The 25,832-nt window shown below is 42.5% G+C and overlaps 1 protein-coding gene across 4 annotated transcripts in view; it reads left to right on the top strand.

The window, feature by feature from the left end:
• STX8 (syntaxin 8) overlaps positions 1 to 25,832 on the top strand; it is a 325,350-nt gene that overhangs the window by 23,987 nt on the left and 275,531 nt on the right. For 2 of the 4 annotated variants that reach the window (XR_934120.3, NM_004853.3), the window contains exon 4: positions 6,552 to 6,662. The exons of the other annotated variants lie outside the window; for them this stretch is intronic. Coding sequence is in view for 1 of the 2 variants with exons in the window: in NM_004853.3 (NP_004844.1) it covers positions 6,552 to 6,662 (111 nt within the window). In the remaining variant the exon portion in view is untranslated. The remainder of the gene's footprint in view (positions 1 to 6,551; positions 6,663 to 25,832) is intronic. 4 annotated transcript variants of the gene reach the window in all.

Raw genomic sequence — 25,832 nt, 5'->3', positions numbered from 1 at the left:
CGTGGGAACAACATCGGCTCTGAAAGCAGACAGAACTGAGATTGAAGACCAGCTCTGCCACTTACCAAGGCCAAACAGCAGTTCAGCTTTTCTGGACCTTAGTTTCATTATCTGTAATGTAGGAATAATCATACTTTGCCAGGTTATTGTACAAGTTGAAGAAAATCTTTTTTCTTCACAGGACTAGCCCCCCATAATGGTGGGTGTTGAATAAAAGGTGGTTACCAACACCCCTGGGGAAGTTACTTAACCTCTTTGTGCCTCATTTGTGGAATGGGATGCTAGAAGTCCACCTGGCGTAAAGGATTGTTGTGTAAGGATGAGATTATATGCATACAGGGTGCTTCACATATACTAAGTCCTCCTTGAGGATTAGCTGCTATTGATTATTTTATCATTATTGTAAAGATTTCAGCTACCATTGAGAATTTACAGGTCATCCTTTCTTTGTGGAGTTTTTAATCATGCATGATGGTTATGTCAAAACTCACAAACAATGATGGTATTAAAATAGTACTTGCAAAATGTGATCAGTGCTTTGAGGAAGGTAAGGACTTGGCCTGGTACATCATAAATATTTATTAGAGTTTGTTGACTTAAAAAAAGAAAGCCAGAAAAGTCTTTTGACCTCTAGAACCTTAAACTGTTCCCTTGCAGTTCTTCTTTTTTGGCATGGAGAATTAATTATCTGCAAACTTCTTCCTTCGCCAGAGCAGCTCTTTCACAAAATAAGGCTTACCTAAATTCTATTTTTTTTTGAGACGGAGTTTCACTCTTGTTGCCCAGTCTGGAGCACAATGGTGCGATCTCAGCTCACTGCAACCACCGCCTCACAGGTTCAAGCGATTCTCCTACCCCAGCCTCCCAAGTACCTGGGATTACAGGTGTGCACCACTACACCTGGCTAATTTTTGTGTTTTTGGTAGAGATGGGGTTTTGCCATGTTGGCCAGGCTGGTCTCAAACTCCTGACCTCAGGTGATTCACCCACCTCAACATCCCAAAGTGCTGGGATTACAGGTGTGAGCGACTGTGCCCAGCCTAAATTCTTAAGCCTTCTACCAAATATAAGAGAAAATCCAGGAGCTGGAGTGGGATTGGGTGACCTGTGGATCCAGTTGCATATTTACCCCGCTCCATCTGTGGTTCAAATGCTCACCAGGCTACAGCAGAGAAGCTGGACTTATGCATGCTGGTAGTAGGTATCAGTAATATGAAATCAGGATCCAGTTTTATTTTTATTTTTATTTATTTATTTTTTGAGATGGAGTCTCGCTGTGTCACCCAGGCTCGAGTGCAGTGGCACGATCTTGGCTCACTGCAAGCTCCACCTCCCGGGTTCACGCCATTCTCCTGCCTTAGCCTCCCGAGTAGCTGGGACTACAGGGGATCCAGTTTTATTTACAACCTTACATATCCATGAATTGGCTATAATTACATGTACAATCAGCATAGCCAAGGACAAAGTACTATGATAGTTAGCTCTTCTCTTCCTTTTCTTTATCTGTCTGTTCTCTTATCTTCTTCCTTGGCTATTCACCAGGTTGGTGGAAGAGGAGGTTCCCCAGCACTGGCCACTGACTGTGTGCTGTACTACTTTTTTTTTTTTTTGAGATGGAGTCTCACTTTGTTGCCCAGGCTGGAGTGCAGTGGCACGATCTTGGCTCACTGCAACCTCTGCCTCCCGGGTTCCAGCGATTCTCCTGCCTCAGCCTCCTGAGTAGCTGGGACTACAGGCGTGTGCCACCACACCCAGCTAATTTTTGTATTTTTTTAGTACAGATGGGGTTTCACCGTGTTGTCCAGGCTGGTCTCGAACTCCTGACCTCATGATCCGCCTGCCTCAGCCTTCCAAAGTGCTGGGATTACAGGCTTGAGCCACCGCGCTTGGCCTGTGTGTCCTACTTTCTACTTGTCCTTAGCATCACTCAGGCACACTGTTTCCCCACTACCCTACTTTACCCAACTGCTACGCACCTGTCCACATACATGCTGTATAGATTGTTTCCTGGATGATCCTTTGACCTCTTACTAATAACAACCCTTACATAGCAAGGGTGCTATGCAGATGGTTCATTAATCAATTTATTCTCATTCCATCTCCCTCCTCCCCATCTCCTTATGCTCTGTTCTCTCCGTAGATTAAAATATAAAACAAAGAGGCAGCATGTTCCTAATTGGATTGTTTTCCAGATTTACAGAGTCTCTGGGAATATTCTGAATTCGTACTCCCAGTATTGTTTTTATCAGGATTCTAAGAAGTGGCAAAGTTAAGTCAGCATCTCAAGGTGGAGAAGTCTGCAGAATGTTTGGTGGAAAAGCCATGAGCTAGGGTTGAAAGAGCTGTCACCTAGCATGGCTGTTAACCCAGGCAAGTGACTTAGCCATGCTCACCCTTAATTTCTGGTCAGCAAAACAAGAGAACTGGGATCTTTAAGGCCTCTTCTAGCATCAACTGTGTGGGTTTCTGTTCTTTGGTTACTCATCTACAAAACATAGTCATCAAGTTTTACTGTTTCTGAAACTGATGTTCTTTGTTAGCTCCTTCTTGACGTAAGTTTAAATCTGTAACTAGTATCTGCTGATTTTAAAATGTACCTTTATTGTTTTTATTACAAAAAATATTATACTTTCTACTGATACATTTCTCATTAGTTATTACCAATGACTCCTCTTTCTCTTCCTTATTCTATCCTGTCTCATCTCATTCTTTATAGTTAAGTGTTAATGGTTGGTAGCTAGTATCTCAGACTTTTCTAGGCTTGAAATATATGCATATGTAAACATAAAATTCCTTTGACTATAAAGGGATTATATTATACATATGGTTCTGAAGCTTGTGTTTTTATTAATTAGCAGATGATAGAGACAAACATTAGGAAACAATATTCAGTGAAACATCAGTCTCTCTTATACCCTTAATCCTCAGTTGTCCTTCCTTAGAGGCAATGTTTATATATCAGAAATTTTCTGTGTGTATATACACACATATATAGTTAGGATTTTTTTTTAACAAAGTGGGAGCACACTACTCACTGTTTAGCTCCTTGCTGCTGCTGTTTTTTTCCCCTCCTTTGGTTTAATGTTATATTTTGTAGATTATTCCATGTCAAATAATTCATGTAAACACTTAGTAAGTGCTCAAAAATGTTAATTATCATTATCAGCCCCCTAAACAGCTTTCCTATTCTTTTTTTAAGGCTGCAAAACATTCCATTGTTTACATACACTAGTTACTTATTGATATTTCCAATGTGGCTATTATAAATAATGGTTCAGTGGACATCCTTGCTTCTAAGTCCTTGTAGGACTGTATCTGAGGAAGAAATGTCTGTTGAAAGACTGTACCTTTTATATTTTGTTAGGTATTTAGAAGGCAGTCTAGCAGTTGGTTGAACCTGTTTGCATTCCTATCAAGAATGTATGAGGTGGCCGGGTATGGTGGCTCATGCCTGTAATCCCAGCACTTTGGGAGGCCGAGGTGGGTGGATCACTTGAGGTCAGGAGTTCGAGACCAGCCTGGACAACATGGTGAAACCCCATCTCTACTGAAAACACAAAAATTAGCTGGGCATGGTGGCATGTGCATGTAATCCCAGCTACTTGGGAGGCTGAGGCAGGAGAATTGCTTAAACTCTGGAGCTGGAGGTTGCAGTGAGCCAAGATCATGCCACTGCACTCCAGGCTGGGCGACAGAGGGAGACACTGTCTCAAAAAATAATAATAATAATAAAGAAAGAATGTATAAGGTCAGGTGAAGTGGCTCATGCTTGTAATCCCAGCACTTTGGGAGGCAGGAGGGTCACTTTAGATTAGGAGTTTGAGACCAGCCTGGCCAACATGGTGAAATCCTGTCTCTCAAAAAAACCCACAAAAATTAGCTGGGTGTGGTGGTGGACACCTGTAATCCCTGCTACTTGGGGAGCTGAGAGGAGAATTGCTTGAACCCAGGTAGTGGAGGTTGCAGTGAGCCAAGGTTGCAACACTGCATTTCAGCCTGGGATGATAGAGCAAGACTCCATCTTAACAAAACAAAACAAAAAAAAAAAAAAGAAAAGAAAAGAAAAGGAAAGAATGTATGAGAGTGTCTGGTTCCTTGTCCCTTTCCAAAACTGTCTTCTCAGTTTCCTAATCTGATAGGTGGAAGTGGTATCTTGTTTTAGTGTGTATTTCTTTTCTTTTCTTTTCTTTTTTCTTTTTTTTTTTTGAGACGGAGTCTTGCTCTGTCACCCAGGCTGGAGTGCAGTGGCACAGTCTCGGCTCACTGCAACCTCCGCCTCCCGGGTTCAAGTGATTCTCCTGCCTCAGCCTCCTGCGTAGCTGCGATTGTGCGCCACCATGCCCAGCTAATTTTTGTGTTTTTAGTAGAGATGGGGTTTCACCATATTGGTCAGGCTGGTCTCGAACTCCTGACCTCGTGATCCACCTGCCTTGACCTGCTGGGATTACAGGCGTAAGCCACCACACCTGGCCAGATATATTTTAAAAGTGTTTGTTAGCTTTCTCCACTCATTCATTTTATGGCAGAAGTTGTTTCCAAACATATCCTTTACTGTGTTTCTTTTTTCTTTTTTTTTTTTTTTTTTTTGAGACAGAGTCTCGCTCTTTCACCAGGCTGGAGCGCAGTGGCGCGATCTCGGCTCACTGCAACCTCCGCCTCCCGGGTTCAAGCGATTTTCCTGCCTCAGCCTCCCGAGTAGCTGGGACTACAGGCGCACGCCACCACGCCTGGCTAGTTTTTATATTTTTAGTAGAGACGGGGTTTTACCGTGTTTGCCAGGATGGTTTCCATCTCTTGACCTTGTGATCCGCCCACTTCAGCCTCCCAGAGTGCTGGGATTACAGGCGTTGAGCCACCGCGTCCAGCCCTTCTGTGTTTCTTAACATACCACACACATAGACACAGTTCAGCCTAAAAACAAACAAACAAAAACTTGTGTCTGGGCGCACTGGCTCACACCTGTAATCCCAGCACTTTGGGAGGCTGAGGTGAACGGATCATGAGGTCAAGAGATCGAGACCATCCTGGCCAACATGGTGAAAACCTGTCTCTACCAAAAATACAAAAAATTAGCTGCGCGTGGTGGCACGTGCCTGTAGTCCCAGCTACTCAGGAGGCTGAGGCAGGAGAATCGCTTGAACCCGGGTGGCGGAGGTTGCAGTGAGCCGAGATCGCGCCACTGCACTCCAGCCTGTAGACAGAACAAGGCTCCGTCTCCAAAAAAAAAAAAAAAAAAAAAAAACCACTTTTGTAGTTTGCATCAAGAAAGCTAGTATATAAAACTTTGTACTTAGTCCAAGGGAAGTGGCGCCGGTTGTTGACAGACGCCACTTCCCTTTTTGCTTCATGCGCACGCGCCGCATTCTCGTCCACCTATTGGTGAATTGTAGGTTTCTTTCCAAAGACTACATTTCCCAGAAGGATGGTTGTTTGGTTTTTTTTTTTTAACCATCACTTATGAATTGTTGTGGAAAAGATGTTAGAGACTATTTAGTGTTACATATAAAGAAAGAGAGATCCCAAAAGGTGAAATAACTGGTTCAAGAGCATAGATAGTGGAATAGGGCTACAACTCTGCCTCTGGGGCTCCTAGTCTAGCGTGTTTGCTAGATTCACACATTAAAATGATTCTCTTTGTAATTTTCTTTACAAATCATGCAATGTATTTAAATAGTGAACTGATGGTAACAATTTATAGAGCAAATCTGTTGCATAAAGTAGCACTTTATAAATATCCTAGGTGTGTTAATAGATATTAACATGGAAGAAAGAGAGCAATATAGAGAACTTCTCTCCCCCAGCGCCCCCACTTTTTTAAACAGAGCATCTTAGGGTATTAATATGTAGGAAAATGCCCTGGAACACTGACACACACATATAACTCAAAACCTAAGGAATCACTGAGCCAGGTTGCACCATTGGCAGGAGAAGTCATTTAAATTTGGTCACTGGGGCTGGGCGTGGTGACTCACGCCTTGTAATTCCAGCACTTTGGGAGGCCAAGGCAGGCAGATCACCTGAGGTCATGAGTTCGAGACCAGCCTGGCCAGCATGGCAAAAACCCGTCTCTAATAAAAATACAAAACTTAGCCGGTTGTGGTGGTGCACGTCTGTAAGCCCAGCTACTCGGGAGGCTGAGGCAGGAGAACTGCTTGAACCCGGGAGGCAGAGGTTGCAGTGGGCCGAGATCGCGCCATTGCACTCCAGCCTGGGCGACAGAGCGAGACTCTGTCTCAAAAATAAGTAAATAAGTTTGGTCACGGGGAGGAAAGTAATATTTACCTGGTATATTTCTCAATGAAAAACTTGTGTCATGATCCACGTCAGTGTTTATAAGTGCCTCTGCGATGGTCCTGCCAAGGTCCTTTACCTGACGGCCTGGTGAAGGTGAAGGTCAGAGCAGGAAAAACGCAAGAGTGGTGCGCATCCCTTCTGGGTAGTAGTGATTACAGTCTGTAAAAGCCACAACTGACTTGAAGAGCTAACTTAATAATGTAATAGTTAAAACGAGGTCATTTATTCACCATTGAACCTTAACAAGATATCTGCAGAACACAGCTTGAAGGGGACCGAAGACAGAACCTCTTGGATGATCTTGTAACTCGAGAGAGACTACTTCTGGCATCCTTTAAGAATGAGGGTGCCGAACCAGATCTAATCAGGTAGGATGTTTTTATTTACAGGGATTACTTGGTGGGCGAAGACTTCTTTGCAGATACTACAGCTGTTTCCTGAATGGCTTACTTTAGGAATTAATCAAAATCTATTCTATTCATTTATGGTGTTTGACTATAATTTTCTACTCAATTTAGTTTTCGTTAATTTTTGTTTGTTTGTTTGAGACAGAGTCTCGCTCTGTCACCCAGGCTGGAGTGCAGTGGCGTGATCTTGGCTCTCTGCAAGCTCCACCTCCCAGGTTTCCACCATTCTACTGCCTCAGCCTCCCAAGTAGTTGGGATTACAGGCGCCCACCGCCACCGTGCCCGACTAATTTTTTGTATTTTTAGTAGAGATGGGGTTTCACCGTATTAGTCAGGATGGTCTCGATCTCCTGACCTCGTGATCCGCCCGCCTTGGCCTCCCAAAGTGCTGGGATTACAGGTGTGAGCCACTGCGCCCGGCCAGTTTTCGTTAATTTTCTGGGTTTAGTAAACCAGGTATGTTCAGCTGAATCCCATCTTGGGTGGAACATACTAAGGGAGACTGTGGGTGAAGTCAGAACATTTCTTTGGCATTCTTTGGTTGAGTTTTCTGCTTTGTTAACTGCCTTCTAAACTCCTGAGGTCACTACTTCTCTGTGTGGGCAAAGCAGTTTTTTGTTTTTTTTTTTAATTGGCATATTGAGAACATGAGTCCTAATAAGACTGGTCCGGGGCTCACAGAGGCAAAGGAGTTGGATCCTCCTCCCCATTCTTCGCCAGTGAGTGATTCACACTTCAAAGAGCTGACAGCTGCTCTGAGCCCGGTTCTGCTGGAAGACCTGGAGGACGGGTCGGGCTTTCCAAGGCTGAGGTTGATGAACCGTAAATTGCTACCTCTTTAGAATTGGCCTCCCCCTGTTTCTAGAACTTCCTTAGCTTCATCGTGGGAACCATCACAGAAGGCAATGAGCTTGGGTGGAAACCCGCCTCTCCTCATCTTCCACGCTAGGGTTGATGCATTTATCGTGGAGAGGAGCTTGTTTCTAGTTGGTTTCCAGTTAGGAATAGTGTGGCTTCCCAAGGGCAGTGGTTTTGGACCCTAGCCGTGCATTGTCAGACTCCACCTCTGACAGGTGAACCAGAGTGGGATTGCGGTGGAGGGGCAGAGGGGCAGGGAGGTCTCAGGTGATTCTAATATACAACCCAGATTGCAAACAACTGCCTAGAACAAGCTGAAGAAAATGAAACTGATTTTCCTGTGGGTTCCAGTCTTCTCAGGAGCGGCGATCCAAGGTTCCATGAAGAAACTGTGAAATACAGGAAGGTAGATGAAATGTTAAGTTGCTTCTGTGAAGAAATGAACCTAAGAGTCAGTTAGGGAGGGGTGATACTCTGTTGGCAGTCTCCTGGGCAGGGTTTAAATGAAGATAGAAGCCTGTGCTGGGCCAATCTACTGTGGTTCCCAATATTTCCCTGGCATATTCAGTCCCAGGGTACAGGGGTGAAGTATGTGGATGAAGGTGGTGGTCCAGGTTGGTCAAAGAGAACAGGTGAGCAAAGGAATCAAAGGTGAAAAGAAAGTACTGTCGCCTGGGTGCAGTGGCTCACGCCTGTAAGCCTAGCACTTTGGGAGGCCAAGGTGGGTGGATTGCCTGAGCTCAGGAGTTTGAGACCAGCCTGGGCAACAAGGTGAAATGCCATCTCTACTAAAATACAACAACAACAACAAAAAAGTAGCCGTTGTGGTGGCGGGCACCTGTAGTCCCAGCTACTCAGGAGGCTGAGGCAGGAGAATTGCTTGAACCTGGGAGGTGGAGGTTGCAGTGAGCCGAGATCACGCCACTGCACTCCAGCCTGGGCGACAGAGCAAGACTCCGTCTCAAAAAAAAAAACCAAAAAACTGTCTTCTAGAAGGGGCTTTACACTGAAGGCAGAGTCTTTTTAGTCAAGAAATTAATAAGGACATAGGTAGGACGGGGAGCTTGTTTCATGGAGGAATAGTGGTCATGTAGACAGATGATGGTCAGAAAGAGGACAAAACATTCAGACTATTCTGCTTGGTAGTGATGAGGCAGTCGTGATGAATAGTCATGGTTCCCATTTGAGAAGAGCATGTTTTGCACCAGACTCTGCTCTTTGCTTCTCATTAATTGTGCCACTTAATGATGCTGAAGGGGCCAACCTAGGAATTTAGGCTGAGGACCTCTGAAGTCTTCCCACCAGGTCCTTGTTTGTTTTGTTAGTTTTTGGTCCCCGCTTGCCTGCCTTTGTCACCCCTCTTCTCTGATCATCTCTGTGTCCTTTACAGTGTGACTTGCTGATAAGCAGCATCAGCATCACCTGGCAGTGTGTTACAAACTCAGAATTTTCCAACCCGAACCCCAAACTACAGAATTAAAACTTGCATTCTAACAAGATCATCAGGTGATTTGAATGCACATTACAATTTAAGAAATAACTGCTTTGTATCATTTATTCCTTATTTATTTATTTATTTATTTATTTATTTATTTTTTGAGATGGAGTCTTGCTCTGTCGCCCAGGCTGGAGTGCAGTGGCGCAATCTTGGCTCACTGCAAGCTCCGCCTCCCAGGTTCACACCACTCTCCTGCCTCAGCCTCCCGAGTAGCTGGGACTACAGGCGCCCGCCACCATGCCCGGCTAATTTTTTGTATTTTTAGTAGAGACAGGGTTTCACCATGTTAGCTAGGATGGTCTCGATTTCCTGACCTCGTGATCTGCCTGCCTCGGCCTCCCAAAGTGCTGGGATTACAGGCGTGAGCCACAGCTCCCGGCCCTTGTTTTTTTGTTGTTGTTTTTGTTTGTTTTGTTTTTGAGACGGAGTTTTGCTGTGTCACCCAGGCTTGAGTGCAGTGGCACAATTTCAGCTCGCTGCAACCTCCGCCTCCCGAGTTCAAGTGATTCTCCTGCCTCAGCCTCCCGAGTAGCTGGGATCACAGGCACGCACTACCACGCCTGGCTAATTTTGTATGTTTGGTAGAGATGAGGTTTTACCATGTTGGCCAGGCTGGTCTTGAACTCCTGACCTCAGGTGATCTGCCTGCCTCAGCCTCCCAAAACGCTGGGATTACAGCCATGAGCCACTACACCTGGCCTGTGTCATTTATTCTTAATCGTGGCACTTTGCATCAGAATCACCCAAGAGAGAATGGAAAAAAAAAAAAAAATACAAATGTTTAGACCATGTACTTGCAGAGTCTGATTCATAGTCTTGGGTGAGGCCTGGGCAGCAGTAAGGCTGGGGAGACTACCGGGTGGTTTTAGTAGGTGGCAGGGTTAGAACGACTGCTCTATGTCACAGTGTACTAGTCATGAGACCTATAGCTTATGTCTGCTATTTGTTTTTTATATGGTAGGCACTGTGCTAAGCTCTTTATGTGCATTTGCTCAGGAGCTCTTTATAATGCCCCATTTTGCAGAAGAGAAACAGGCTCAGAGGGTTCAAGATTCTAAAGCTAATCAGTCATAGAACTTGGATTTTAGCTCTGAACTTGTAACCATTGCACCATAAAAAGAGCTGGATGAGGTGTTAGAAGGACCCAGTTCTGTAGCTTTCTAGTCTGTCAGTCATGTGGGCTTTGAAGTCATTGACCTTAGACTGGGGATACATGTGCTGCCCATTTTTCGTTGTTGTTAGGACCAGATGAAGTGATTGCTATGAGACAGGCTTTGTAAACTCTAAGACCTTTATAAATACAAGATGTTATTACTGGAGCATTGTGTCTCCATCCGGCTAGGAGGGAACTCAGGCTGCCTCATTGCTTCGGAGATCTTCTGTCCCTCGTGCCCTGCCCCCTGATTGCTCTAGAAGGACGTGGTCTGTCTGACCCCATCATACGCTGCACCTGGTCCTCTGCCCTCCATTCTCCTCTTCCACATCTCATTTGTTCCGTGTCTGCTTCCCTCCGTGCCCAGCTTGCTGCCTATTGTCTTATTAGTGAACAATCTCATGTTAATTCTAGCAGTGGAATCAACGGCTGCCAATGTCTTGTCTTCTGGAGGTATTTTCACCGAAACCTCCTTAAACCCTAGGATTGAAACCACAGTGAATTAGTTGATGGGAATGTTTAGGGAATTTGGCAGGTTAGTGTCAGGTGGTTTTTTTGGATGGAGGCCTTCTGAGGACCTCTTGGGTCCTGCCACTGGGACTGCCTTCTGCTCTTCATGCCCATAAGGCTGATCCATGTGGTGGACTAAAGCTGTTGCTTGTTGGTGTGTTGGTGAATGGCTGAGTGGCATGGGGACAGAGATCATACTGGGGAGACACTGTCAAGCAAAGGTAACTGAATCCCTGAGGGTTGAAATAAAGTTACTGGCCAGACTTATTTACATGCTCTCAAGATGAAACCAAGGGCAACATAGAGATTGGTGTATCTTTTCTGTTCAGGACCAGAAGTCTAGGATGGTTCAGAATAAGGTTCTAGAAGAATTCTGTTTAAAAATAATGTAAGTACTGTCAAGGAGAAATGACTCCTGTGGAGTGATTTGGAGAAGGTAGACGTGGACATAACACACAATGATGGTCCGTTCTGGATGACATGGAGTCTGGCCAAGAGCGGGAAACCAATGTGGCGACTGGACATTGAGCACCATGAAGAAAGAAAATCATTGCAGATACAGAGAGGAAGGAGAATGATGTCGGTGGCCTGGAAGGTGAATTTCTCATTCACTTCCATTGGTGATTCCTTGTTGGGCTAGGATTGCTTTAGACCCAACACCGTAACGGGAACATGTCCGCATATGCTTGTCCAAAAAGTGCAAGTCCTGTAGACATTCCAGAGAAGTCTGATCAATAAGAAAATTCATACTAGACAAAAGCACTCTCATAAGCTATGTAGAAAAGTCCCCGGGAAATCTGCTCAAGGGCCATGAGAACAAATACCCAGCTAGCTAGCGTTGCTCCAACTAGTCAGGGAAGATGGCACCATGTGGACCTATCGAGGACCAGCAAGAAGTGTATGGAGGAGTGAATGCTAAAGCTGAAGTGGACTGCTGGAAGTGGATTTTCTTAGATTTGAGGTCAGAGTTGCTGTTGTTTGATTTCCTTCACCTGCCTATGTAAGAGTATTATTTTTGCCTTCTTTACTCCTAATCCCCATCCTTGAGACCTCCCCTTCTTTCCCCAACTTCTCATACCTAATAGTTCTCTTGTTGGACCTAGCCTTCCAAGGACTTTAATTCAGTTGTAAACATGACTTGTTCATTATATGACATGTTCAATTACAATTCGATTGTATCCCCTTCCCTCCTGATTGTCAGTTGCCTAGTCATTTCTAATACCAACTCTTAGGGAACGCTCAGCTCTATCTATCTTTGGAGAAACTCATTCCTTTCTCTGCCAGTTGGTTTCTGTAGTATCTCCAATGACTTGCAGAGATTTCCTTAGTCCTCTCTACAGTTAATTCCTAGTTCTAGGCTCCTCCAACATTTTCGTTTGCTTCTCTAATCTCTGGATTCCTCCAGCATTTTTCTTTGCTTCTGTAGTTCTTGGTTTTGGGGTGGGGGGGGTCAGTTGGGTTGCTTTGTCACTTTGTGAGTGGAGGGTAGGTGTCTTTCCCTTAATTCATGACTTCCAGAAGCATGGTGGCCAGAAAGCCTTGTCAGAACTTTGAAATGTTATAGACGTGCTCACTATGGCACATTTTGTCAGGAATGCTAGACCATGACCACAACACATTTACTGTTAGAGAACTGGGGTTAATCTGCTAATCAACATTTCCCTAGTAACTGGCAGCAATGCCACAAGATCTGTTTACCCTACCAGGACTCGCTTGGAACCTGGTGAGCCTCCCTTCCTAGAGCCCCTACCTCTGTTTCCCTCTTTTTCATTTACTTTGCACAACGCTCTTTTCCTCTCTTTCTTCCCCATCCCTCATTCCCGAGGGCCTTTCCATCCCTCTTTTCCCTCTTTTCTCTTCTTCCTCATATGTGGCCTTATTAAGGAGAGTCAAGAATGGTCAAACTTCAGTTTGGATTAGCATTTCCTTTAAACAGACATTAATGTGGCAATCACATAATTGAATGTATAGCTGTCATGTGACAGAATCTTAGTTTTACCTTACGGATTACTGGTCATTATTCTAAAGCAGTAAGCCTTGGTCTAAATAAGCAATGGTTGACTAATTTAGGGTATTTGGAAACTTGTTAAAGAAGTCTCTGTGCAACAGTGTCTCTTAGAAGAAGATAAGCCCTGTCTCATAAAGCAGTGACACAGCTTCTGATTTAAAACCCTCCCGCCCTTTATATTCGAGAGCATTGCTAAATCTCACAATTAGTTAAATCTTTGCCTGTAAAGAGAAAAAAAAAAACCAAAACCATTGCATACTCCACTGCTCTGTGACCATCTCAAAGATTATGTGATTAACTCAGCTGCAGTGGGTGGCTAATTGGCTAAGCTTTAATCTTCACACCACCAACTCTGTAGAGGATTATAGGGAATAGGAAGTTGTTTAGAGTTTGAGGTGGTAGTTGTATGTCAAGAAGGATATATTAACAAGCAGACCAATTGCTAAAATCAAAAGAAGATGATAATGAAACGTCTACGTTTTCTCAGAGTGCAGATTTTTAAATTTAATTTTAGAGATAGGCTTTTCTCTTGCACTACTGACAAAACATGATATTTCCAATGTGTATTTCATATCAGTATATCGGTAGCCAAGATGGGCAAAAGAAAAATTTACATTAAATTCTAACATTAAAAATGCTCCTCCCCATTTGAAACCGTTGAATGTTTTATTTCAATTTAAATGTTGATTTACAAGAAGGATGATTTATGTCCCATAGTACTTAGATTTCCTAAAGAATCATTGATTTATACTTCACATTGCTTAATGTTGTTACCACGTGACCAACCTACTCTTCTAGAAGAAGGAAGTTGCTAAGGAATATACATCCATATCATAAACCCCCTTCTCTCTTTTATGTATGTCCCTGAAATACAGTGACGTCCTAGCTTTTCTGATGTGCAAGGGTGTGCTGAAATCAGTACAGATTTGCTTTGTCCTCTACGTGAGTGTAGGGGCAGTTGAACCCCAAGGAGTTACTAAGTACAGTCAAGAATATTACAGTTTCCTGCTAGTTTAATGAAAAATAGGTAAGGAAGTAAAAATGTGGTAAAGCAAACCTTCCTTCATTAAGTAGATCTTTATTGAGTGCCTACTATGTGCTATACACTGATACTGGGAGTGTAGTGGTAAAACCAAAACTACAAAAGCACCTACTTTTTGCAGTTGAGCCATGTACAGTCCAGGGAGAGAGACAGACATGAAATAAAGAATCATACAATCAGTAAAATAAGTTCAAAAAAATAGATTGTATTTTGAGAGCATATTAATAGGAAGCTGATTTAGCTAGGGAGACTGTATGGTTAATACTTAACTGCTTTTCTCTTTTGCAAGTGTATATTTTGTCTCTTGATCTATATTTTAAATACCTCAAGGACAGAGACCAAAGCCTAGCACAATTTTTAATAAGTAATTGCTCAATGAATGAGCGTCTTCATGCACTTTTCTGTATCTTCCGTAACATCCAGCCCAGAGTTGGGTATACAGCAGGTGTGTTGTTGATTCAGCACATGTTTGTTGACAGAAAGATTGAGCCAGGACGTGATAGACTGTGTTAACAAACCTGCGAATGTCACACTTTTAATACATGAAAGCTTTTTTGCCTGCCTCGTGTAAAGTCTGTCACGTAAAGGTGACTCCGAGCTTCAGGTTGCTTCCATCTCTGGGCTGTGCTCTCATGACACAAGGCGTGCGTGTTCCCTGTGACTGGAGAAGAATGAGGGTGTGGAGAACTCACATCTGTCTTCTATGCCTTGGCCTGCAAGTTTCACACACTCAGCCCCTTGGCCATAACTAGTCACGTGGCTCCAACCTAGCTCTGAGGGCGGCTGGGGGATGTAGTCTTTCTGTATACTCAAGAGGAGGGCCTGGTGAAGCATGCAGCTTTGTCTCTGCCTCGCTAATTATTTTGGGTAGTTTGATGGAAAGACAAATAGCTTTGGTGCAGCCTTGCTGCTTTCTTCTTGAGCAACGATTAGAATCAGAAGTTACTGAAGCCACGCAAGGTGGGCTAAGAGGTGCCCATGGGGGGATTAGTTTGTCATTTATAATGCCCGTTCTTGGCTGGATGCGGTGGCTCATGCCTGTAATCCCAGCGCTTTGGGAGGCCAGGGCGGGGGTGGATCACGAGGTCAGGGGTTTGAGACCAGCCTGGCCAACATGGTGAAACCCCGTCTCTACTAAAAATAATAAAAAAAATTAGCCGGGCATGGTGGCGGGCGCTTGTAATCCCAGCTATTCGGGAGGCTGAGGCAGGAGAATCTCTTGAAACCAGAAGGTGGAGGTTGCAGTGAGCTGAGATCGTGCCACTGCACTCCAGCTTGGGCAACAAGAGTGAAACCCCATCTCAAAAAAAAAAAAATAATAATAAGCCCATTCTTGCAGAGTTCAGAGTTTACTCAGGAAGGGGAAATGTATACAAAGACAGATCACAGCACAGTGGAATTAGTGCAGATGGGTGTGTAGAAGTGTGATGAACACCAGAAGGGAAGGTTGTTTCTTCAGCATTCAGGGAGGAGGACAAAGGAGTCTGGAAAAGCAGGTTGTGCTTATTGTCCTGACCCACTCTGACTGACGATTGTTAAGGGGGTGCCTGGGTTTAGCTCTCTAGACTAGTATAGCAGTTGGCTGCTCTCAACCACATATAACAGATTACCCTGCTCAAAATGGCTTAAATAGGGAAAAACATCCCGTGAAGTAAGTTGCAAGTTAGAGAAGTGAGAGGGTTGATTGACAGCCCAGTGATGCCGTCAGGGCTTCGGGTAGTTGCTGTCTCTTCATTTCCCTTCATCTCCCGATACTCGATGTCGGCTTTCCCTTCCGAGTGACTCCTCTCGTGGTCTCAGAATAGCTACAGCAGTTCCCAGCCACACTCCAAGCATAACAATAGAAGAGAAAGGAGAATGTGTTTTGCATAAGTAATATAATTCATATGGCTAAGAAATCTGCAAAGCATTGAACAGGATTCAGTGAAAAATCTTCCCACTATGTCTCCTTCTCCTCAACATAAGTAATTACTCTCAATAATTTTTGGCATATCCTTCTAGGGTTCTCTTAAGCACATACCAGCAAATAGGAATATATTATCTCCCTCCATCTTTTACACACATGGTAACATATCATACATAGCATTCTGCAACATTCTTTTGTCACCTGATCGAATATCTTGGAGATTTTCCCAATCGTGACGTAAGGTTTTGTCATTAGTTTTTGTAGCCTTATAATATTTCATTGTATGCATTTACTGTCATTTAACTAGGCTCTTATATATATGCGAGTATTGTTTTCAGTCTTTTTCTATTACAAAAATATAGTAGAGGGATTTTGCATATGTGAAAGTATATCTCTAGGTGAGTTCTTAGAAGTAGGATGGCTGGAGGATGGGCACGATGGCTCACGCCTGTAATCCCAGCACTTTGGGAGGCCAAGGCGGGCAGATCATGAGGTCAGGAGATTGAGACCATCCTGGCTAACACGGTGAAACCCCGTCTCTACTAAAAATACAAAAAATTAGCCAGGCGTGGTGGCGGGTGCCTGTAGTCCCAGCTACTCAGGAGGCTGAGGCAGGAGAATGGTGTGAACCCGGAAGGTGGAGCTTGCAGTGAGCCGAGATTGCGCCACTGCACTCCAGCCTGGGTGACAGAGCAAGACTCCGTCTCAAAAAAAAAAAAAAAAAAAAAAAAAAGTAGGATGGCTGGGTCAGAGGGTATGTGCGTTTGTAATTTCAATAGCATTTCACAAGTTATTTTCTAGCGGGGTAGAACCCCTCTAGACTTGTGCCAGCAATTTAGGTGAGTGCCTGTTTTCCAACAGTCTTTCCCAAAGAAAGTTGTTAAACTTTTGTATCCTACTCCAGACTAACATATAAAGAGAGTTTTATATAGTAATATCTTAGTAGAGTTTTATGTAATTATTATATATAACTATAGTGAACCAAGGTTATAAAGAAATTCTCCTGTGCTTTTTTCTGGTACTTCTGTGGTTTTATAACTGTTAAATCTTTGATCCATTTGGAATTTAATTGGTGAAGAGTATGAATCCTACGTTTTTCCTACTTGGCTCTATTCTATTTTTGTGACTGACGATATTTTTTACTTAGTAGTTCATCTTCTCATCTTCAGATGTAAGATGCTGCATTATCATAGAATACGTTCCCATATGTATTTTGATCTATTTCTGGACTTTGTAATGTGTTCCATTGGTCCTTCTGTCTACTTATGTGCTAGTACCACATTTTCTAAAATATGGATACTTTAAGTTTTAATATGTGATAGGACAAATCTGCCATTAAACTTCTTTTTAAGAGTTTTGCCTTTTTTTTTTGAGACAGAATCTCACTGTGTCGCCAGGCTGGAGTGCAGTGGCGCAATCTCGGCTGACTGCAACCTCCGCCTCCTGGGTTCAAGCAATTTTCCTGCCTCAGCCTCCCAAGTAGCTGGGATTACAGGTGCGCACCACCATGCCCAGCTAATTTTTGTATTTTTAGAAGAGACGGAGTTTCACCATGTTGGCAGGATGGTCTCAATCTCTTGACCTCATGATCCGCCTAGCTCGGCCTCCCAAAGTGCTGGGATTATAGGTGTGAGCCACCACGCCTGGCCGAGTTTTGCTTATTTTTTAACATGAATTCTAGAATCAGCTAATGTAATTCCAAAAGAGAGAACAACTTTTAAAAACAATTGGGATTGTGTTAAATCTTGAAATCCTTTACAATGTTGAATTTTCTCATCCAAGATTGTGGGATTTGTTTGTTTGTTTGTTTGTTTGTTTGTTTCTCCAAGGCATTTTTCAGGTCTTTCAGTAACGTCTTCTTCACAAAAGTCTAACATGTTTTTGGTCAAATTTATTTGTTTTTTTTTTAATCTTTTTGGTTGCTGTTTTAAATCCAGGTTTTTTAAATTGTACTTTTCTATTGTTGTTGTTTATATGAAAACTATCAATAATTAATGTCCGTTATTAATATTAAAGCCATTTTCTTAATTCTCTAATAGCTTTTAGCATTTTTTTATCTTGGCTTTTTTTGTATTTTTCAGTTATTTCTTTTTAAAGAGCAATGAAATGCTTCCTGGAAGCTGCCTAATTGACTCTGGCTCAAAATAGAAATAGACTATTGTATCACATGATCATGTTATACCAAAAACGATGGGAGAATGGGGTTGCTGTGGTTGACTAGGTTAGTTCAGGAGGGAGATATTCTTGAGCTGAAAATGAGGATGAGGTTATGGTCTCTGAGCAGTGGAGCCCTGAACAAAATTGAGGTTCTGATAACAAGGAAGATGAGACATACTGATGTTGGGTAGGCAAGTTGTAGTGTCTGTATCAACCCTTCTCTGCAACTCCCTAAGCAATAGCAACGCTGTTCTTGAAGTTTCTTGAAGAACCAGAGACTCAAGGTTCAATTCTTTGACCTCATTAAGAACCTTCTTTCTTGTCACTTCTCCTTTTATTGAAATCCCAGAGAGTTAGTCACTCGCTGGCCTTTTGGGTTGTTTTATTTAGGCTCAAGTGAACCTTAGTCATTACTTTAAGTCTTCAATTCACTTTTTAAAGAAGCTGGGATGTTTACACCTATCACTTGTCTTCCTGAAGAGGCTTAGGAGAAGTACTTTTGAAGTGCAAGCGGTTTTTTTGTTTTGTTTTGTTTCGAGATGGAGTCTCACTCTGTCACCCAGGCTGGAGCAGTGGCACGATCTTGGCTCACTGCAGCCTCTGCCTCCGAGGTTCCAGTGATTCTCCTGCCTCAGCTCCCAAGTAGCTGGGACTACAGGCACATATCACCCTGCCCAGCTCATTTTTGTATTTTTATTAGAGACGGGGTTTGACCATGTTGGCCAGGCTGGTCTTGAACTCCTGAACTCCGGTGATCCACCTGCCTCGGCCACCGAAAGCCGTGGCATTACAAGGCGTGAGCCATCGTGACCAGCCTGCAAGCAATTTTAACGTGACACATTGATACAGTTTCATAGAGCTGGTTTCTTCTGCAGACAGATAATCTTGTATATATTTTGTTAATTCTTGTTTAATTCTATTTTGAGAAGTAGTAGCTTCTGACTTTTTCTACACATTCTGGTGAAATGTTAATAGATAATTTGGTGCAAGGACTGATAGAATGACAAAGGGAGTATTTGAAGTAGGAACTGATAAAAAAAATTTGGAATATATGTTGCCTTAGCACATTTTTTTCCAGTCTTTATGCTGCATCATCTTTTTTTTGCTTCACAGTATATATTGAAGACGATGAAGCAGAATGTTTAGGGTAATACGCTTAACTAATGGTCTGATACCAGCCATATAATGTGTACAGTGACCATGTTTTTCTTGGAGAGAGAAACTAGATATGTCATATGATGAGGTATTTTTTGGGACTCTTCTTGGTGGAAGAGTCGGTTTGGTTGATAGTGTTAGGTCAAAATGTTGACCATTCCAGTGGTTTATGGGAATGAATATTTGTTTTTGAAGAATGTTTTTTAAATATAAATTTATTTTTAAAGTAATTTGTTACATTGTTAAACTGTACAAAATTGTAATCAATGAAAATTCAGGCTCTTTCTACTTCTCACCTACAGTTTCCCATTTTCTTCCCCAGAAGCAGCCACTTTTAACAGTTTTCTGTGTGTGTGCCCTTCCAGAAGGATTCTACACGTATCCAAGGATACATGCACGGGCCCATATCCCCAGTCTCTATTCCAACTTGTTTGTGTTTTTTAAAAAAACAGGAATTATAATATAATATGCATTCTTTACTGCACGTCATCTTTTTTACTTAACAGTGTATCTTGGAGATGACGAAGTAGAAGGCTTAAAGTAATACTCTTAAGTATCTTGAAACTACCTTCGAACTTGACAGAGTAGCTATTCGAAGTTTTTAGGTTATGTATGTTCTCACAAGACTGATTATCGCCAGAAGAGATCTCTGTAGCTACTTAGTCCGGATTTTTTTTTTTTTCCCTCACCATGGGATAGGAAAGGAAGCTCTATTAACAGCCTGACTTCCAAATAGAGACTAAATGTAAAGAAAGATTATCTCTTTGGATGACTGATGGAGCAAAGAAAACCAGAGACCTTGAGATCTGAACAAATGGTCATTGCAACTCCATGTCATTGATCAAGTCAAGAAAGGTATCCAGCCATTACCATGTGAAAGAAAATGAAGCACAGCCTGTCCACACGTGGTTAGCAGTAGCAACCTGGTAGTTTCTCTCCTCAGAAGGTTTTAAAAGCTAGACAACAAAGAAAAATCAAATGAAAAAATTTTAAGGCTGCTGTCATAGTACTTTAAAAAAAAAAACATGAAATCTGTAGAAATAAGTAAAATGAAAGATGTATGAGACTTCTACACTGAAAACTATAAAACATTATTTAGGGAAATTAAGTAAAGCTGAAGAGATAAATAAAGAGTAGTCCCCTGCTTAAGGGCAGAGGACACATTCTAAGACCCTCAGTGGATTCCTGAAAGCTTGGGTAGTACTGAGCCCTGTATATGCTATATTTTTACTTGTGAATATATACCCATGGTAAAGTTTAATACTGTAATGGAAGTTATGAGAATGTGGTCTCTCTCTCTCTCTCTCAAAATATCTTATTGTCTATAATATTTTCGGAGTGTGGGTAACTGAAACTCTGGAAAGTGAAACTTTGAGTAAGTCGGGGTGGGGTCTTACCATGCTCAGATCTCTTCAGTCTCTGTGCCTTGTTCAGAGATTGGGAGACTCAATATTGTAAAGTCATCAGTTCCCTCAAGATTGATTTATAGATTTAGAGCAAACCCACTTACAGTCCCCAGCCAGATTTTTGTTTCCGTTTTGCCACTTGAGAAGCTGATTACAGCCACTGTTTATATGGTTAATGCAAAGAGATAAGAAAAGCTGAGACAATTTTTAAGAACAAAAAGGCCAGAGGACTCACATGACCAGTTATCCAGACTCACCACAAAGCTGTAGTGTGGTGTTAGCACAAGGATAGGCAGATAAACCCGTGGAACAAAAGAGAGGGTTCAGAAGCAGTCTAACACATATATTGTCACCTGATTTATGACAGAGGTAATCTTTTCAATAAATGGCATTATGTCAACTGGATATCCACATGGAAAAAAATGAATCTTGGCCTCTGCTATCACCCTACATAAGAAATAATTCCAAAAGGATTATAGATCTAAATGTGAAGGGTTGAACCAGAGAGCTTTTAGAAGAAAACAGGAGAACATTTTTATGATCTTGGGATAGCCAAAGATTTCTTAAACAGGCCACAAAACATACTAACCATAAAGGAAACAAGTGATAAGTTGGATTTCATTAAAACAAAAAATTCTTTTTATCAAAAGATACCACAATGATTGAAAGACAAGTCACAGAATGAAAATCTGTATTTGCAGGGCATATATTAATATTTGACATAGGAAATGTATCTTGGATATATGAAGAATCCCTATAAGTCAAGAAAAAGGCAAGCAACCTGTTAGAAAAACATAGGCAAAAGACTTGAATTTCACAAGAGGATATTCAATGGTTGATGAATGTAAGAAAAGGTGTTCAACTTCACTAGTCATCAAGTAAATGCAAAGTCAAGTCACAATGTCATTATACTACAAGAATGGCTAAAATTAAAATGACAGACATGTCAAGTGTTGCTAGGATGTGGAGCAGCTATAGTTCTCATATACTACTGCTGGGACTGTAAATTGTACAATCTCTTTGGAAAACCATATTTGCTGAAATGGAAAACTGTATTTGCTGAAATGGAACTATACAAAAGGCACGTACAAGAATGTTTATAGCAGTGCTGTTTTTTTTTTTTTTTTTTGAGACGGAGTCTCACTCTGTCTCCCAGGCTGGGGTGCAGTGGCGCGATCTCGGCTCACTGCAAGCCCCACCTCCCGGGTTCCCACCATTCTCCTGCCTCAGCCTCCCGAGTTGCTGGGACTACAGGCGCCCGTCACTGCACCTGGCTAATTTTTTTTGTATTTTTTTAGTAGAAACGGGGTTTCACTGTGTTAGCCAGGATGGTCTCGATCTCCTGACCTCATGAACCGCCCGCCTTAGCCTCCCAAAGTGCTGGGATTACAGGCGTGAGCCACTGCGCCCGGCCTAGCAGTGCTATTTTTTGTTTTGTTTTGTTTTTTAGAGACAGGGTCTTGCTACGTTGCCCAGGCTGGAGTAGAGTGGCTATTCACTGATGGAATCATAGTACACTGTAACCTCAAGGTCCTGGGCTCACGCGATTCTCCCACCTCAGTCTCCAGAGTAGTTGAGACTACAGGCGTCTCTGTTTACAGTGCTTTTCTTAGTAGTCTCACCTGGAAATAATCCAATGAACATCTATAGTATAATGAATAAATACATGATGGCATATTCATACAATGATGTCACACAGCAAATGAGAATTAACAATCTACAACTGTACACCACACTATGGATGGATCTCAGACATCATGTCAGACAGAAGAGTTTACACAGTTCATGCTATATGATGCCACTCCTATAAAGGTGAGACTTACAGTGTTATAAATCACGAAAGCGGTTCCCTTTGGGGGAAGTAGTGACTAGAAGGGTATATGACAGGGCTCCTGGGGTTCTGGTAATACTCTTTTTCTTGCTGTGGGTAGTGGTTAACTGTGGGTATTCACTTTGTGAATCATCTTTGAGCTGTACACTGGGGATTTTTCTGTTTGTAAGTTCTACTTGAATTAAAGAATAAGTGCAAATATGTGCATTTATATACTACATGTACATGTATTACACATGTGAGTAGATATGGTTATATTTATATACATACATATTTGCATATATTTGCATGCATATGCATACAGATACACACACATGCGTGTGCGCACCCACACACTCTCTCTCTCTCTCTCTCTCTCTCTAAGAGCTATGTCCTGAACAGACCACAAGATGGAGATGTAAGTCAACAGAAGGGCAAACTTAGCCCATCCCAGTTGCTAGATTTTGAAAAGTTAGGGTTTTTCTCCCTATAAAGTTAAGACAGAATGTTAAGATTGCTGGTATTAATACTGCTTAACTTTAGGAAAGGAATTATATCACCCTCCAGTTCTTTCTGTAACGGTTTCCCTCTTCCCTCCATGTCCCTGTAAGCCAGTTTGTCATTTTTATATTTCCCCCGTAATGACTCTGTAGGTTCTGCCCGATCCCCACTTCATTTATTCTTGTTTCTTTCTCTCTCTTTCGCCTTCTTTTCTTGCCTTTTTCTTTCATATTTTTCTCTTGTATTTCTCTTTCCCTCTGGAAAAATATGCATGATTTTGGCATTTCTTGATTTTAGTTTTTATCTCCTATTCTTAATTTTTTTTTTAACGAAGAGGGATGCTTTTAATACCTCTTTCTAATAGTTTCTACTTAAGTTGTCATTTATTTTGTAGATCTTTGTTTTCCTATTTTCTTCCCTTTCCGTATTCCCTCCCTGCTTCCATCATGGGGAAATGACCCTGTAATTGGGTTTAAAATAGGCAATCCACATGATACATGCACATTATAACAAGTCAAAAAAGCCAGGCGCAGTGGCTCACGCCTGTAATCCCAGCACTTTGGGAGGTTGAGGCAGGCGGATCACGAGGTCAGGAGATCGAGACCAGCCTGGACAACATGGTCTCTACTCTCTACTAAATACATCTCTACTAAAAATACAAAAATTAGCCGGGCATGGTGGCACGCGCCTGTAATCCCAGCTACTCAGGAGGCTAAGGCCGGAGAATCGCTTGAACTCGGGAGGCGGAGGTTGCTGTGAGCCAAGATTGCGCCACTGCACTCCAGCCTGGCGACAGAGCGAGAGTCCGTGTCAAAAAAGTCAAAACATACCAATGTGTAACTCAAAAGTTCATACTCTCTCTCCCTTTCTGCCCCTCCAGTGCCTTTCTCCTCAAGTAACCAGGATTGGCTGTTTGGAGTTTCCCTTCCCCACATTTATCTATGCTTATACAACTATAAATTTACAAACATACATACCTAAAAAAAGTTTTCCTTTCCTATTTTTAAAGAAAACAGAACTGTACTATACATTTTCCTCTGTAATTTTACTTTTCTTCACTTAAATTTGGACATTCCTCCAAGTTGATGTGTCTGACAAATTCGTCAGTTGTATTCCACAATATAAATATGCAGGCATTTTTCCAGCCACTCCCCATTTGATGGACGTTGGGTTGTTTAGTTTTTTGCCATTACAACGAGTGCTGCAGTAAATATTCTTAAAGACCATGGCTTCTATTTCTTTAGCAATAGAGTCCTCAAAGTGGGGTTACTGGGACAAAAGGTATGAGTGTTAAAGATGTAATAGGTACCACCATGTCTTTTTCTTAAAAGTTGTGGCATTTACATTCCCTTCAGCAATCTGTGTGAGGGCCCCTTTCCTTAAACCTTAGCTGTCAGTGGGCGTTACAGAACTTGATGGATTTTGTTTTGTTGCTCTGATGGGTAAAAAATGGTATCTTCTTTTGAATTGCAGCCCTTAACTACTGGTATAGTTGTGACTTTTGGTATGGAAAATAAAAACATTCTTTGCCCCTGCATGTATTAATTTTAAGTCTTTAAAAAAATCATTTGAGAATTGAAAAAGAAGGAAAACTCCAGTTTCTGAATAAACGGGAAGAAGAAAGTAGAATTACCTAATCACGCTGTATTTTAGTTCATTATGTTAATTTTAATTTTAATTTTTTTGAGACAGGGTCTCGCTCTGTCACCCAGGCTGGAGTGCAGTGGTGAGATCACAGCTCACTGCAGCCTGCAACTCCTGGGCTCAAGTGATCCTCACAACTCAGCCTCTCAAGTAGCTGGGACCACAGGCACATGCCACCATGCCTGGCTAATATATTTTTATTTTGTAGAGACAGGGTCTCTCTCTGTTGCCCAGGCTGGATTCTAACTCCTGGGCTCAAGCAATCCTCCTGCCTCAGCCTCTTTTTTTTTTTTTTTTTTGAGACGGAGTCTCGCTCTGTCGCCCAGGCCGGACTGTGGACTGCAGTGGCGCAATCTCGGCTCACTGCAAGCTCCGCTTCCCGGGTTCACGCCATTCTCCTGCCTCAGCCTCCCGAGTAGCTGGGACTACAGGCGCCCGCCACCGCGCCCGGCTAATTTTTTGTATTTTTAGTAGAGACGGGGTTTCACCTTGTTAGCCAGGATGGTCTCGATCTCCTGACCTCATGATCCACCCGCCTCGGCCTCCCAAAATGCTGGGATTACAGATGTGTGAACTATGCTTGGCCTCATTACGTTACTTTTTTTTTGTTTTTGTTTTTTTGAGATGGAGTTTTGCTCTTGTTGCCCAGGGCAGAGTACAATGGCGTGATGTCAGCTCACCGCAACCTCCACCTCCCAGCGATTCTCCTGCCTCAGCCTCCCGAGTAGCTGGGATTACAGGCACGCACCACCACACCTGGCTAATTTTTGTATTTTTAGTAGAGACAGGGTTTCACCATGTTGGCCAGGCTGTTCTTGATTTCCTGACCTCTTGATCAGCCCATATCGGCCCCCCAAAGTGCTGGGATTACAGGCGTGAGCCTGTTAATTTTAAAAAATGTTTCCAACTTGTGTTTTCTTTAAGTAAAAATTTTTAAGAAATTAAAAAGCCTGTTCTTGTTTGTTGAAAATAAAAGTTATTTCTCCCTCTTTCTCTTCTCTGTTTACCGAGCAATTTTTGATATATTACAGTCACCCCTAAGCATACATGAGTGTTGGTTCCAGGACGTGCATGTAGGATGCATGTGGAGTGGCGGGTGGGGGCGGTCTTAGGCCTCAACGCTCCCATGTGTGTTTGACTTTTTTCTTTCTGATACGGTGTTATAACTCAAGCGATTACTTTTTTGGTTTACAAATGAGGAGACTGATTCTTAGAGAAGTCGTTGTGCCCATGGTGAATCAATGGAAGAGAGAGAACTAGAACCCAGGTCCTCTCATCCTTTGCCCTGGGTTTTGTCCCTTGGGCTTTGTCTCTCGTACTTTTGAAATCTTACCATGATTCCCTTTCAGGGGCCCTCATGTATTCCTTTCCCACTGGCTTTGAATACTTCGTCTTTCACACTTGCAGGGACAGTATTACCCTGTTCGTAGGGACAGTATTCCACCAGGTGTTCAAGTGTGGCATATTGCTAAGTTTGCCTTGT

The sequence above is a fragment of the Homo sapiens genome, chromosome 17 (assembly GCF_000001405.40).
Source record: "Homo sapiens chromosome 17, GRCh38.p14 Primary Assembly".
NCBI classification, from domain to species: domain Eukaryota; kingdom Metazoa; phylum Chordata; class Mammalia; order Primates; family Hominidae; genus Homo; species Homo sapiens.
Note: the sequence above shows the minus strand (reverse complement) of the source record. Positions and strands in the feature narration are given on the sequence as shown.